General features: G+C 35.5%; 1 protein-coding gene across 16 annotated transcripts in view, besides 1 other annotated feature; it reads left to right on the top strand.

Annotated features, from left to right (window-relative positions):
- CNOT4 (CCR4-NOT transcription complex subunit 4) overlaps window positions 1–16,386 on the top strand; it is a 148,308-nt gene that overhangs the window by 119,472 nt on the left and 12,450 nt on the right. For 4 of the 16 annotated variants that reach the window (NM_001008225.3, NM_001190848.2, XM_047420415.1 and 1 more), the window contains exon 11: window positions 1,737–3,561. The exons of the other annotated variants lie outside the window; for them this stretch is intronic. In NM_001008225.3, coding sequence (NP_001008226.1) covers window positions 1,737–1,837 — 101 coding nt within the window. In that variant the 3' untranslated portion in view covers window positions 1,838–3,561. Of the gene's footprint in view, window positions 1–1,736; window positions 3,562–16,386 lie in introns of those variants that run through there. 16 annotated transcript variants of the gene reach the window in all.
- Window positions 9,735–10,315: an enhancer, noted in NCBI's record as "OCT4-NANOG hESC enhancer chr7:135065068-135065648 (GRCh37/hg19 assembly coordinates)". NCBI's record gives its function as "activates a minimal SCP1, AML or CMV promoter by ChIP-STARR-seq in naive H9 embryonic stem cells {active_cell/tissue: H9 hESC(naive)}" and the evidence as "EXISTENCE:reporter gene assay evidence [ECO:0000049][PMID:30033119]".

Genomic DNA, 16,386 nt, shown 5'->3' with positions numbered 1-16,386 from the left:
TTTTTTTTGATCTAATTGAAAACTGTTTTTGTGTTTAAAATTAGTAGTTATTTCCTTAATTAGGTGAAACCTTTTTAGCAGCATTTGGTTTACTAAGTTTAGAAATATTTTTGACATAAATATTCTTGGGGGAAATTTTGATTCGTGGGCAGTTACAGTAAATTCATTCAGATCTTTTTTTTTATTATTATTGGAACCATATGCCTTCTTTCTACAAAGTGATTTACCTTGTCCTAAAACGTGACTTTGTTTTGTCCAATTCCTTCATTTTAGGAATAGCAAAGCTGTGTTCCAGAAAGCTTAAATAATTTGTTAAAGGTCACATATTCAATTAGTAGTGGAATTAGGGTAAGAACTTAGATCTCAAATTCAACAATGGAAATGTTTTTGCACTACAACGATGCCCTCCTTCATAAATGAAGATCACTGGCATGTGCTTTAACTTGGCTTTCTTCCCGTGGCAATTGTTTTTGCTCTCACACACTTGGAAGTCCCTTTTTATCAACAGTATCAACTCATGAGACAAATTGGCCCAGCTCAGGGGTATATGGCCTATTGTTACAAAATAGAATAAAGTGTATCGACTTGATAGAAATCAGTCTGTTTCTTAGTCCTTATTAATATCATTTTCTTGCTAAGAACTCTAGTCTAAAATTTGCTTTACAGAGCCTCATTGCTATGTTCTTGGGGTTTATAAGAATCTTTGCCAATTTACTGAAAAACTACAAAATCACCTGTTATATGGATTGACAGACTCTTTTTCTGCTTTGTCAGTTATCCTTCCACATGTAATTTTGCAGATTTGTTTTAAAAAAATATTCTGCCAAGTTGTTTTTATTCCATGATGTTAAAAATTATTTGGAAAACATAAGTCAGTAAGCATTGTTGTTTCAAGATATACCTCAAAAAATATTTGAAACTGTTTAGGATTGGATTTTTTTTTCATGTTTTTGTTAATTTAAACTTTACTTTTGAGAGGGCATTTTTCTTTAAATTTTCTTTGTTTCTATATGAACTGTTTTAACAGTGACTTGATTGAATTTTGAGTCATGTGTGAAACAAGTCACTTGTAGTCAAATAATTTTCAGTTATAATCAGGAGAACCGATCTCATTCATCTATAATTCTCTGACCTAGAAGTAGTCATCTCATTTTCAGTCAATTGGATCATTGTACTGTTAACATTTTACTATTTTTCAATTACTTCAAAGGTAAACTTGAATTTTCAGATGCTGTATGTTAATTTACTAGTTAATATTTATAGCTTTCATTTTTTTCTAGTACATAATTTATGCTTTCAAAACATGGATTTGTAATTTTTCTCTTTTAAAAATCAGTTTTCACTTCTGTAAATCAAGGTTTAATTTTTTCACAAAATACTATTAATATTTACCATTTACTAGGAGTATCTATAAGGGTCCAATTGGCTTGGAAAAGAATGGCTTTCCTGGTCTTTTTTTTTTTTTTTTTTTTTGGTAGTATGTTTATAATCTAAATCTATTGTATTTGTTCTTATCTCTGAAACAATATTACTCAGGATATATTTAGAATATAACTACTTTCCAAGTACTTGATAAGTTTATATTTTAAAATTCATGTCTTGTTTCACACCTGGATTCCAAACATTAAGCATGTATTTTATATATGTATCAGTATTCCAAATATTGAAATCATTTTTAAAGGGACTGTTAACAAATCTAGTCACCCATAACTAGACCATGACTGACTTTTCCACAGGGGAAGAAGAGGTGAAGGTTTCGACCATGCCACTGTCAACCTCTTCCCATTCATTACAACAAGGACAGCAGCCTACAAGTCTCCACACTACTGTGGCCTGACAACAGAACTGAGAGGAGAGGATTAGACTCTGGGGTGCTTGCATGGGCAACTGGATTTTTGCATGATTCCTTTATGATTTTGCTTTTAATGTATACACCCAGAAGAGCCAATATAAACGTTCCTCATGCCTACAGCTAGCGTGTTACCTCATAGTTGTTGAAGTATTTCTTCATTAGGCCTTTAACATAATTTATTAGTGTAATAATTTTGGCATTGTTTCTCATGAGTGATACTATTTCTAACTCATAAAAATAAACTTGTAGTACTAAGATCCCAGGTGAGATTAGCTAGAATTGTTGTTATTTTGGCTCTATTATTGAAAAATTATACAAAGGTAATGGTAGTATCTTGTTTTCTGGTTTGTGAAAAAATAATATCCTAATCTCCTGAAAAATTTGCAAATTAACAAGATAATGTCTATTGCATTCTTTGAATACTTGAGAAGAAAGAATACATATAAAACAAAATTGGTGGTGTCATTTAATGCTCAGAAGGATATTGTTGGCGATTGTTTTTAGTTGTCTAGATTTATATCCTATAATATGCATTACATGTGTAGAAACTGTTTTGTTCTCTCTCTTTTGCACTTTTGCACTTTCTTTTTGAATGGTTGTTAATTATGCATAGATGGTTAAAAGATAATTATTGTAGCCTAAATGCAATATAATCTCTTTTCTAATGCACTGCCTAGTATACCAGGAAATGCCTCAAAAACAGAACTTCAGTTTATAGTTGACTTATCTGAAACTTGAATACGGAGTAAACATTGTATGTGAAAAGCAACCATAGTAGTGTAACATTGTTACTGAACAAACAGTAATTCTGTGGGATATTGTTTTGGAAATTTCATTGTTTAATAATTAAAATGTGATAATAAGATAATATTATAAGTACCTGACCAGAATGAGACTAAGGCAGAAGAGAAGAGATTGGATGTCCTCTAAAATTAGGCCACCTAAATTGTAACAGATAATTTTAATCAAGAGAATAGTGGAGTACTTTATTAGGACATAATGTGAAGTGATATTTCTGAAAACACATTTCTTGAAATAGTTTTAAAACTGATAATAAAGGAAAAGAAACTGTACTTAGTTTGGAGCAGTGGACAAAAGCTGATTCAGAAAACATGACCATATTCTGCCTACATGAAGCATCTGGGAAGAAAGGGAAAGTCACACCTCCTCTTGAGATTTTAACCATTATGATAAAAGGTATGCTTTAATTTGTTAAAAAAAAAAGTATGAAAGGGGATAATGTGAATACAAAAAAGAAGCCTAGAGATTGAAAATAATAATAATAGAACATGTTATTAGGAGATGGTACTTAATGTCATGTTGGAGTTGGAGTTTTCAAGGTTACCTCTATATAAAATTGGATTATTTTCTGTTAGATATAATGTGACAAATTAAATGACTTTATCCCAAGGTACAGTGAGGTAAACAAAAATCTATTCTTAGATATCCTTAGATTTGGTTAACTGAGGCTGTAGAAGCAGCGAATTGTCTAGCCATTTAAGTTATTTTTGTAAAATTCAGCATAAACATCAATCTCTAATTTCTATCTAGAAGTGACTTTAAGACATTACAAGAACATTGCCAATTTGGAAAATGCCAATAAAATACTGTAGACTTATTAATATTGTAGACTTATTATCAGTCTTTTACTATAGCTTAATTTAATTATGGTTTTCATTTTTACTGTAAGAGGCCAAGACTTCACTTATGTCTCCTGTGGAGCTGAGGCTCCTGGGCCTTGTTATTATAACAAACTCTGGCTCCTTGTAATGATGCTTACTAGCTCAAAGCCTTCTCCAGCATTCAGTGTTAGCCTTTCATTGCCTGGATCTTCTTACAAAGCCATAGCAAGTGGTTAGTGCCATTTGCTCCTTGGTGTTGAGAGATATACCTGTTAAATGAGGCTTCTTTCCTTTCTCATTCATAGCCAGCGTGGAAAAATCATCAGGTAGTTTGCCCAGATTTGCCAGAGCCCTAAATAAAATGGCAAAACGATCTCCCTGCCTGCTTCTCCTCCCCACCCCCACTTACATGCACACCGTAAATCAAGAAATGCTTTTTGGGCAATTAGACTTTATCTTCTAAATTTTTGCATAGAATGGCTAAACATGATCTTTTGCCTCACTTTGTAATTCCTACACCTTCCTTGTAAGCTTCACCTTTTGCTTACCTAATATTTTATTTAAACATGGTTTTTTAAAAAACCTGAAGCTTTAAAATCATAGTCATAATTAATTTTACACTAAAGGACAGAAGAAATTATACAACACATAAAAGAAGCCACTACTTCACATAGCAAGCAAATTGAAATCAAAATGACAGAAGAATGAGAAATTCTTTAAAAGCTTCAGGTTTTTTTTGTTGTTGTTGTTAAATTCCTGCATGATGCATCATGTGCAAGGGAAACTTAATATACTTTTACACCCTTAACCTTTATAAAGTGACTAGCTTTTCCCTTAACATAGGAATTTTTAACCTGGAGCCCAGATTTTTGAGAGTACACACAAAATTGTGGGTTTGTGTGCATGTACATATGTCCATTTTTTTCTAGGGAGAAGATCCATAGTTATTAGATTTGTGAAGGATTTGGTGATCCCCTTCTCCCATCAAAAAAAAAAAAAAAAAGAACAGCTGCCTTGAAATGTTTTTAGTGCCACTTTAGGGAATAGAGTCCTGTACTGAATGATTTTAGTTGTATGATGAATTATAAGTGCCTCTTTATTTTCTCTAAGATTGCATTAGAAAATATTTTTTTCTGACTAATAATGCTTTCCTTTTCATTCTATTATTGAATTTTGGTTTTCCATGTGTTACTTTTGTGTACTCTCCCCTTATTTCAACAAAGCATTAATTAAATATTTGAGTACCTATTCTGTATAGTGACTTGAACTAGATCTTTAGAGATACAAGGTTGAATAAAATACAGACCCTATCATCAAGGATAATTCTAGTGACAATTATATTTCACATTATTTCTGTCAGGTCTTGATAATATTTTAATCACAGGAACCACCATAGCAGTCCAGACTCATTTTATTATTTATCATCTCTCAGTAACTGCTCCGACAGTGGCAACAAAGGGTATTGAATACTTATATTTCAAATTTTAAAATTTATGATAATTTGGAGGGAGGTGAAAAAACCTTACTAGGAAAGACAAACATTCATTATTCTACGTGTGTGTGAGCTCATGTCTCTTACTCTTAGCATCCTGGGAATTAAGTACAGCCTTCTGTGTAGGTGTTCCTTTAAAGAAAACAACTTTAATGCATTTTACCTCTGCACATTTCCACTGACATGACTCCTATTTGTACAGTGTTCCGAGCACTGTCAAGACTGCCAGAGCTCTGGCACAGGTCCATAGGTACTCCCACGGAGGCATTGCCTCAGAAAGACAAGAGAAAGGAACAAATTGCAGTTGCTTTGAAATCTTACAGTGGCCTATAGGGGTTGGGATAGGGCAGTAAGGAGATCCAGCTGAGGTATTCAGGGACTGGTAAGCTTGGATAAGTGTGTTTAAAGCCTTGAAAACCAGAAGAAGAGTTTAGTCTTGATGTGAATGTGGTCAGTGGTAGAGAACTATAGGTTCTTAGCAAAAATGTAGTTTGAACATAGCATTTTAAGAACAGTAATGGGGTAATAGATTTGATTGCAATTAGGACCGGTTAGAAAGTAATTCCAGTAGTATGCCATTGCTGGCCAGTGCAAATAAGTTGGCCTAGACTAGCACAGTAGTGGTTGGAATGGAGAAGAACTATGAATTAGAAATTGGAAAGCGTAAGAGCTGAGAAAAGGCCTTCAGATTTGGTTAGATCTGTGGTGATCTTTAAAAATGTAACTTTCATAGAAAAGTACAGAATGGAAGCCCATCTTTTTAGGATTAATGAGGAAATGTCAAGAATATGTATGCAGCAATCATTGACTACTTAGTGTTAAGACATTTGACAACAAAGTTGAAGAGACAAACAAGATGCTAACTAGATGGGTGGTAGATCTTAGAAGGCATTGCTTTAATATAAGGGAGAAGAAGAACCTAAATATTTAAAGGCAGACCTTACAGAGCCAATTGAGAGGAAGAGACTGGCAGTGCTGAAGAGAAGATAGGCTCATTCAGTAGGATAATAGATGTCGTTGGGTGGTGGGAAGAGATAAGCTCCTGAGACGAGCATGTGGTATAGCTTAAGAGAGGTGGGTGGCCAGGCGCGGTGGCTCACGCCTGTAATCCCAACACTTTGGGAGGCCAAGGCAGGCAGATCACAAGGTCAGGAGATCGAGACCATCCTGGCTAACACGGTGAAACCCCGTCTCTACTAAAAATACAAAAAAATTAGCTGGGCGTGGTGGCGGGCACCTGTAGCCCCAGCTACTCGGGAGGCTGAGGCAGGAGAATGGCGCGAACCCAGGAGGTGGAGCTTGCAGTGAGCCGAGATGGTGCCACTGTGCTCCAGCCTGGGCAACAGAGCGAGACTCCGTCTAAAAAAAAAAAAAAGAGAGAGAGAGAGGTGGGCTGTATCTTCCTCTGTGATTTGTAAGAGCAAGAAGAACCTGGGGAAAGAGAAAGATGAGAATTGATGAAATGGCTCATATCAGTAATTATTAAAATGCATTATTGTTTGAAAATGGGGGTGAAAGAGTGGAATTGGGAGCCTTTTAAAGGAGATTAAAAAAAAAAGTCTTTTGTGAGAATAAGCCCAGAAATGCATTGTAAATAGTTGCTTAGTTGCTGTGTAAAGATAAGAGTCAGCTTAAAGATCTCTAAAGTTGAAATATATGTGGTTTTGTATGTTCCTCTGGTTTAGCACAAAGCATAGGAGTGGAAAAAGCAAATATTGAGTGTTTGGTTAAAAGGGGAAAAAGACAAAGACATAGAGACATTCAAGAAGACCACATTGAAATGTATAATCTTGTGCCAAGAAGAGTCTATTAAGGCAGTTTCCTGTGAAGAAATGGTGTGAGTGATGTGGAAGGGAGTTGAATGATTTTAGATTTTGATGATGACAAAGAACATGTTAGTGTTGCTAAGGGAATGATAACTAGGAGACTGTGGTCACTGTGATAACCACTCAATGCTAAATGATGATTGAGAACCAGAGAAAGGAGAGGGTTGGAGTTTGGAAAGAAGCTTGTCTTTTGTAACCGTCTATATACTCTCTCCTCCAGTCTTTTCATGAGTGTAGGAAGTCAAACTATGTGAGAGAGAATTGTAGAAAGCATGGAAGCAATTCCATGCATCCGCAGATGGGCACCTGGGGAATCCTGGGTCAGGTTTCCGGTGAGTTGAAAATGATCAAAGGAAAACTTCCTTCCTCAAAGCATCGTAGGAGGACATGGAAGCAGAGTGCTGGGGAGGACCAGGAAAAGCCAGGGATGAGATGAGACAGCTATAAGTAAGCAGCCCCAGTGAGTGTGAAGGATTGGTAGAAATGTTACTGATGATGTGAAAGATTTAGACAGAGGGATTAGGTATGGTGTATGATGAGTTTGGTAGTTGAGGAGCCCTTATTACAGGTAATATAGCTTCTCCCAAGCTCACTTGCAAACTGGAAGGCTTTTTTAAAAATGGGCTTCCACCTATGAAGGGAAAGCATCTGCTCTTACATAGTTGGATTAGGTCATTCTGCTTTATTTATATATCAAATAAGAATTAAGGTACTGGTGAACAGTAGAGATAAAGTAAGAATTTTATTGTAACAGGTTATAAAAATATTTTGATAATTTCCCCCAAAGAGAATGTACTATGAATAAATAAAATCTACAAATTATTGGGCTAATTTACCCTTGTTTCTTATATTTTGTATACTTAGGAGGTGACCTCTAGGAAAAAATTGCTGAAGAGGTAGTAGAGCAGGGTGAAGATACCGTATACTGTCATCCCTAGGTATCTGTAGGGGATTGGTTCCACAGATTGCAAAATTCTTGGATTCTCAAGTCCTCGATATAAGACAGTGTAGTATTTGCATATGACCTGCACATATATGGGAGGCCGTATATTTTAAATAATCTCTAGATTACTTCTAATACCTATTACAATGTAAGTGCTATGTAAATAGTTGTTATATTGTTTAGAGACTGACGAAAACTGCATGCTTAATAAATTACACAATTTTTTAAAAAAATTTTCTATTCGATGTTGGTTGAATCCACAAATGTGAAAACCCCAGGTACCTGGAGTCAACTGTGTGGTTTTTTTTTTTTCTCCTAGTCAGTTAATAATAAATATTCCTAGTTTGGAAGCAACCTTAGTTTTCTAATAAAGTATTTTTAAACTCACTCCGTATATGTCAGCTGAAATATCAACTGTGACATTTAAAAAGGATAATGCTTCTAAGTACAAATCATTGCTCAAGAATACTATGTTTGTGAAACCTTGTTGATGGATTGAGAAGCCACTGCTCCTTGGACCTCCTTATCACCCTGTGATTTGCTTCTGTGAGTTGTAATCGAGCCACCTAACATTGCTGGTCATACTAGCCTTCCACTTCTTAGTCAGGGGCTATTTCCAAAGAATCACTCTTGATAATTTGAGATGCATTAAGAAGATTCTACTCTGTTTTTTGGTCTTTTAGAGAGTCTTCTCTGGGTTTGAGTTATAGAGAAATCGAGTTTAGGTACCTAGAACTGAGAGCAAGCCTAAGTAATCTAAGCTACTTGAGAAATGGACTGAAGTACCCAGATGTTCCATAAAACAGCTTGAAGTTGTTGACCTTGAGAACCATTTCCTTTTCTCCAGGTTCCTCTTGACCACACTTCCTAAGGCAACTATTGACTTCACTGTCTTAGCCCACTTTACCTTTATTCTAAGAGTTCCTGGAAGCTCCAAGCTGACCCTGGAACATACTGTGCTTATAACAATTTTGTTATTCCAGCTCCTGTTGGGTGCTCAGACCCACTATTGTGCTGTTACAAAGCAACATCCCAAAATGCTTTTTCCCCTCATATAATTTATAAAGCCTTTAATGCATCCATTACCTTTCTTTCTTTTTTATAGCGGGTGAAATTCACATAACGTTCAATTAATTATTTTAAAGTGTATGATGCAGTGACCCAGTACCATTCTTTAATTATCTCAATGGTAAAATAGCAGAATAAGTAACCTACTCTGCTGTAAGAATTTTAGTCTGTTTCTTGTTGGGGCTGTGTGGTAATAGCTGCTTCTAGACTCTGTGTTTTACCCAGTAGGCTGAAAGGCAAATGTTAAACCTTTAAATATTCCGTATTTCTGCATAGCAGTACTACTGCAACTTAAGCTTGTGAATCAAGCAACTTGTATACACCCTTTTAAAAAGGCAGTGGGGGGCAGTGCAAGGAGCTCTAGGCAAGAGACACTTAGGAGATTTGCTTTTCTGAGTGGTAAAAATGTTTGAAGCAACTCTAAATAGCTTTGAAATGTTAGTAATAGTCTTACTGTCTTCATGACATTTAATTAGCCTTCTGTAAGAGTTTGTTTAGCAAAGGTAAACCATAAGCCTAGCCCTCTATATGCATGTGTGGTTGAATGTGTGTGTGTTTTTATATAAAGCAATTTTCAGTTAAATCTTCCACTTAATGAATGTAGTAGAGGAAGATGTCTCATGTCATTTTGGTGACCTTGACCTATGTCTATTCATGTATTTATTCCTGCTGTGTTCCAATTCATATCTTCAGGATAAATGCTGTATCTTTATTGTCTTTCTCCAATTTTTTTTTGAAGGAACCAAAGACCCTATTTAAATGCAATAAGGTTGTAATACTGGTGCCCACTTCACCCTGGTCATGTTTTTTCTGAACAAATATTTCATAGCTTTTCCTCATCAAATTCCAGTCCCACTGCTAAGATACCCATCTATGACACAGTCTTTGGGAAAACCCAAGGAAAGGATAACTTAAAAATGATTTGTATTGGAATCATGACACTTCAGAGCTATGAATAAATAAATATAACATAGTCTTTAACAATCCTTTTAAAGACCGAATAATAACAATGATGATAATAAACAAGGCTCCGAAGGATTGTGATTTGTCTATAGTCACATTCTAACAACAATTTGAAGTTTCTTTAGCCCTCACCATGTAAATGTGCTTTCATGCTTGAAACTCAGTGGAGGAAAAAACTTTTAAGATTCAGAATCTGTCTCCTCTAAACATTATTGTGTCTTACAGTTTAATTACAGTAGGTCTCTCAAGTCAAGGGCTTACAACTGTGAATTCATTGCAAACAATGAATTTGAAGGCTTTCAAAATGACCACCAGCTGGCAGCTGTTGTCACAGATCCTGTAGGTTTTCAAAGCTGCCCTGTGTTAAATGTGGCCCAGTGATCTTGGAGTAACTTTAGCAGGGGAAAAAATTGTAACCTTGCAGGTACTCTTAAAATAAACTTATGCTAACTACAAAATTACCAGTGTCAGAACTAAAAGAGTAAAACAGAGGTGGAGTTTAATTTACCCAGGATTTTTCTGCAGTACCAAAGAGAATTTAGGGGACAACACACATAACCACTAGACTGGTGACATCTCTAATATTACAAAATGGAAAAAAACTTATAGTAATGGCACCAAGATGTATTACATACACACTAAAGATGTGATCTCCGATTCATCTTTGAAGAAGAGCTACTCTGTGTTACACCATATAGAATGATAGCATATCTGCTGGGTTTTTTTGTTTTTTTTTTTTTCCCCAATCAAGGAAGTTGTTGTTTTCAGCATAAGGAAACAGGGAGAGCTCCACAAGGATTTAAAGATGATAATGCTATCACTATCTCCAAGAAGAAATGCAAGAAATCTGCAATCAACTTTTGTAGCCTAGCACTGTTGCTTAATATAGTGAGATCTTGGCCCAAGGACTGCACTTAGCATTTACACTCTGTTATCAGACTTGCATACTGAAATAATGTATTGATGGAACAGAAAGTAGTGATCTAGAACTTTAGTGGGGTGTTCTAAAACATTGTCGTGTTATATGTTGGCATTTGCAAGAAGTCTGACAACTGTATATTTTTATTTTTTTCCTTTATTACATCTATATGTTTAGTATCCAGCTAAAGGTAAAAGATTGCCTGGGTTATGACTTCATCAGCCAAGTAGGAAGTTTTTTCATTGGCCTTAAACTGAATGTTTGGTTACAGCCATAGTTCCACTTAGGTTTTCTCTGTTAAAAATGTTAGTTTCTATTAAAATTCATGATTATGGATGGCTGATATATATATACACACACACATATATATATACACATATAGGCACACACATACCCTACTCCCCCCAATCCCCATTTAGAGTAAGATTTGCTACCAGATATGTTTCCTTTTCCTTCTAAACTGTTAACATTTACTAATTTTTTCCTTCTGAACTGTTAACATTTACTAATTAATCTACCCATAGTCTTCCCCTGGTTCCAGACAAGTGTAACATATCTTGATTTCTAGTCTGCCCAGTGTTGATAGATGTAAACTCCTAAGACCTCACCTGCATTTTAAATGGTAGATGGCTATTTAATTGAAACGAAGCATATTATTAAAATAAGGATTTTATATAATCTCCAAATACACAAGCCCTGCAACCTTTGTTTTATAACACGCTTTCAGGTTTTAACTATTGACTATTATAAGTCTCTTTCCGGTAGCTTGTGTTCACCCCTCTAACCAGTTTCTTTTTCTTTGGACAAAGGAGAAGTTTCTTTCTCCATGTAATTTACCACAATTAACAGGGAAGTCATGACTAAATCTTAATGTACACTACCTATATGATTTTCCTACTGGATTCCTGACAGGCTTGAATTTTCCCTTTTCTTCTTCTTCTTCCTTTTTTTTTTTTTTTTTGAGACAGGGTTTCACTGTGTTGCCCAGATTGGAGTGCAGTGGCGCAAACACGGCTTACTGCAACCTCGACCTCCCTGGCTCAAGTGATCCTCCCACCTCAACCCTCCAAGTAGCTGGGGCTACATGCACACACCACCATGCGTGGCTAATTTTTGTATTCTTCTAGAGACAGGGTTTTGCTTTGTTGCCCAGGCTGGTCTGAAACTCCTGATCTCAAGTGATCCATGTGCCTTGGCCACCAAAAGTGCTGGGATTACAGGCGTGAGCCACCGTGCCCGGCTAATTTTCCCTCTTCAAAGGAGAGAAGTCTCTCTCCATCAGTCTACTGAGTGTTTTCTCAGTCTTTTTACTCAATTACCAGAGACAGCAGACCCTCTATCTGCCCAATAACTACTCTTACTCACCTGTCAGCTTATTCCAAACTGCCTTTGATCCTAAACGAGTATATTCTTGTTTTTTTTTTTTTCCTTCTCTCTATTTTTATTTTGTTTGAGACACTCTCGCCCAGGCTGGAGGGCAGTGGTGCGACGTCGGCTCACTGCAGCCTCTGCCTCCCAGGTTCAAGTGAGTCTCCTGCCTCAGCCTCCCAAATAGCTGGGATTACAGGCATATGCCACCATGCCTGGCTAATTTTTGTATTTTTAGTACAGACAGGGTTTCACATTGTTGGCCAGGCTGGTCTCGAGCTCCTGACCTCAGATGATCCACCTGCCTTGGCCTCCCAAAGTGCTGGGATTACAGGCGTGACCCACTGCGCCCAGCCTTCTCTCTCTTTTAAATCAAAACAACACATTTAAACAGAAATCATTGTCTGGATTTTGGAGCAGATTGGGGAACGACTAATGCACTGTAAAATTTTGAATCAATAAAGATTTTTGACATTGTAAAACTTGGGCATTACTCAGTTCCCCCAACTTCTAAGGCAATTCTAGCTCCTATAAAAAGTCACTTAACACTTCTCAACAATATGACTAAAATTCAGAGTTTTACAAATGTGTTTTTAAATAAATTTTTTTCAGTAAAACAGTTCTAGTTCAGTATACAGCACTAGCATATCTGAAGTAAGAATATTGCTGTTTCTGATTTGTATTTGAAAATATTTTCATCTAGTCTTCTTTTTTGCCTTCCTTCTTTTGAAATAAGATTCAATATTGACTGAGAATTGGTTCTGTCAAGATTGTCTCTGGCAATCTGTCCCTAATTCAACTATAAATTATTGCTAAGGATGAACACTTAAATAACTATATATTTTAAATGATTTTTAAACTACGGCCCCTTAGTAATGTGATGAGCATATAAATTTTTGAATTCAGGGTCTTTTGAAACTCTGGAGTATCATATGTATGTATAGGTCTGGAAAAGATGTGTTCCTATTAAGACTTAATTCTTTTTAGATTGAGACACCATTTGCAAATTGAAAACAAAAAAAGTTTGTATTTCCCCTAGTATGTGAATATACTGTAAGGAGGAATAAAAAGCAAAATAGTCTTTTTAAAACATAGACTTTAATTTTTAGAGCTATTTTAGGTTCACAGCAAAATTGAGTGGAAGGTACAAAGACTTCTCATTATATTCCCTGCCCCATCACATGCACAGTGTTCTCCATTATCAGCACCCCCAACCAGGGTGGAACATATGTTACAGTGGATGAAGCCAATTGATGATCTGGGTGGTGAATAGGTGGAACACAGAGGAGTTTCAGGGTCATTTTTAGAAAGTACAGATTAGTTTTAAAACTAATGTAGCTTTTTCAGATTGTCTTCTTCCACTTAGTAATGTGTGTTTAAGTTTCCCCAGCCTTAATTTTTAATCACACATTTTACATAGCTAAAATCATTGAGTTTCAGAGTATCAATGCTTATTTTAAAAAACAGACATTTATTTTAAAAACAATCTGAAAACCTTAATAAATGTCTCTTAATGAGAAAGAACTCTTAAAGATGTATGCTTGGTCTGTTGTATTGGAAATGTTTATCACCATAACTATATCCATCTCCATTTCATTTAGTTTTATAAAATAATGAAGTTATATCATTTTCTGAAATAATTTTTCTTCTGAAATGAAAGTAAATACTCTTAATGCCTAAAAAATACTTTCTAAAAATGAAGCTCATAACCAGATTATGAAGAATCTGTCAATTAAAATGATGTTTCAGAAAAGTGGGAATTTTATTCTTATTTGGGATTTTTGTTATGTTGATTTAAATGCTTAAGACAATTCGATGCTGATAGGAGCCATCTTTTAGAAAAAGATAAGACTGACTGATCTTTACTATTGAAATAAAGTGTGCTGTGTAATCAAATGCAGTAAAGAACTGGGTTTGATGTTTTAAATAACTTTTAGATAACTTGGAAGTCTTTTAATTTGGAAAATTATGAACATCAGCAATCTTAGGAATTTCAATAGGTATATAACCATAAAGGGATTTGCTGTATAGGAAGCACAATACTTTCATCTGAATGTAAACCTGAAGAGAGACTTCTGCCCCAATAAAAATATTTTATTGCTACTAAACAATCAAAAGCTATTACTGACTTCATTTGGAATGGCCAGTCCCGAGTGATCTGCTAAGAAATAAGCAGAACTTCACTTGACTAGCCTTAAAAAAATAAAAATTAAAATTAAAAAAAAGCAGAACAGCATGGTTTTTAGGAGGCTGTTAGAGAATGTCATAGCATCAAGCTCCAGAGAAAATGGTACAGAGTAGACATGCAATAAATGTTTGTGGAAGGAAAATTGATGGTTGAGAGTGGTGTCAATTCGGAGGCCTGCAAAGCATGGATGTGTTTTGTGTTAATCTGGACTTTTGGAAGCATTTAGTCAGATTCATTTGCATATGAGTTATAATTCATTTTTTGGTTCTTTTCTGGCATTGTGGTGTTCATTGTTAAGATTTTCCCCCCTACACGTCACCCACTGACTATGTGATTAATTTTTCTTCTTTCTTTTTTTTTTTTCCTCTGAACTTGGGAAACCTCAGCTCTTGGCTTTTCCTTATTTTTCCAACACCCCCTGTACACACATACACACACACACACACCCCTTTTGTATATTTTTTTGAGACGGAGTCTCGCACTGTCACCTGGGTTGGAGTGCAATGGCACGATCTCGGCTCACTGCAACCTCTGCCTCCCAGGTTCAAGCAATTCTCCTGCCTCAGCCTCCTGACTAGCTGGAATTACAGGCGCCCACCACCATGCCTGGCTAATTTTTTGTATTTTTTAGCAGAGACGGGGTTTCTCTATGTTGGCCAGGCTGGTCTTGAACCCCTGACCCCGTGATCCTCCCGCCTCGGCCTCCCAAAGTGCTGGGATTACAGGCGTGAGCCACCGCGCCCAGCCCTAACACACGCCTTTTAAAAAAACTAACACATTTTTCTTACCAGGCGAGTCCTCATTTTTGATACCCATAAATCTATATATAAATATTGGTAAATCTTCCGTGAAACACATACACACAGTCCAGAAAGTCTCTCTAATACCTACTTTTTCAGAATGCTTTGTGTGTACTCCTGAGGTGTTTTAGGAGCTTCGTACTTTGCTAGGTAGGGAGTTCTTTAGGGTAAAATTGTTAGAAATTTTTTATCTTGGTTAAGCCAAAATCTTTTACCAATTGAACTTCTTAGGTGCATTTTGTTAAACACATGAAGACCACTTGTCTGTTAACTTCTGGATGTAGATCAAACATCCTCACTTCTTTGAACCATTCCACACTTAACATGATTTTGAGTTCTCTCTCAGTTTAATTCTCTTTACACATATTTTGACTTGACGTTGCCTTTCTTAAAATATGAAGCTCACACTTGAATATAATAATCCACATATGATCAGATAATAGATGTCTTTTATTAAAACTTGTTACTAATATTTGTATTTTCCCTTATGTTTATAGAGTTCTTTTATAAAAATATCTTGTAGGGTAGTTATCTCCATTTTATAAATGAGAAGCAGAGTGGTTATCATTCGTGATTTGCCTAAGGTCACACAATTGCTAATTTAGACATTGCACATCTATTTATATGGTCTTAATGTTACTTTTTTAGGCGTTCCATTACCCAGTTGCCAGACCAAGTATCATAAGCCTATTTAAGTAAAACCACTAGACCTTTTCCCATACACGCTAATGGTTAGATCTTTTCCATTCTACCCTTTCCAAATGCATTTTTAAAAATCTAATGTATATCTGTTAAATTGTATGTGTTTGGATTTGGTATTGTTAGAATGTATCCTGTTTGTATATCCCCATCTTAGAAGTTTGTCTTATGAAAGAACTATGTGATTATAAAGTGATAGATGCATGTTATTAATAACACTATTAATAACATTTGTCAAAGAATGTTAAGAGTTTTAATTTAAGAATAGTTGTAGTTTCCACTATTCTGTCATCTGTAGAATTGGCTTTCCGTTTGCATATTTAAATGAACTTTGTGGCTTTTGTTAAGTATAATAAAAAGCATGGAGTCAAATATAAGCCAAGAGTATTACAGAGACTTTTAGGCTGACTCAGTATCTCAAGTTCTGTGTAGATTCATCTAAACACTGCTGTTATCCATGCTATACTTTACCATGTTATCCCAAAAGGGAATCATCAGCAAATTTTACCAGAAACTGCTGAATTCAAGATATATTCAATATATATTATACTTCTGACATCCTAGGAAGCCTATCCAAAGAATACATTACTTTGATAGAATTTGTTCTTTATGAAAATTCATTTTGACTCTCATTGATAACTTTATT

Source organism: Homo sapiens, chromosome 7, assembly GCF_000001405.40.
Source record: "Homo sapiens chromosome 7, GRCh38.p14 Primary Assembly".
Classification (NCBI taxonomy): domain Eukaryota; kingdom Metazoa; phylum Chordata; class Mammalia; order Primates; family Hominidae; genus Homo; species Homo sapiens.
This window is presented reverse-complemented; position numbering and strand designations above follow the sequence as displayed.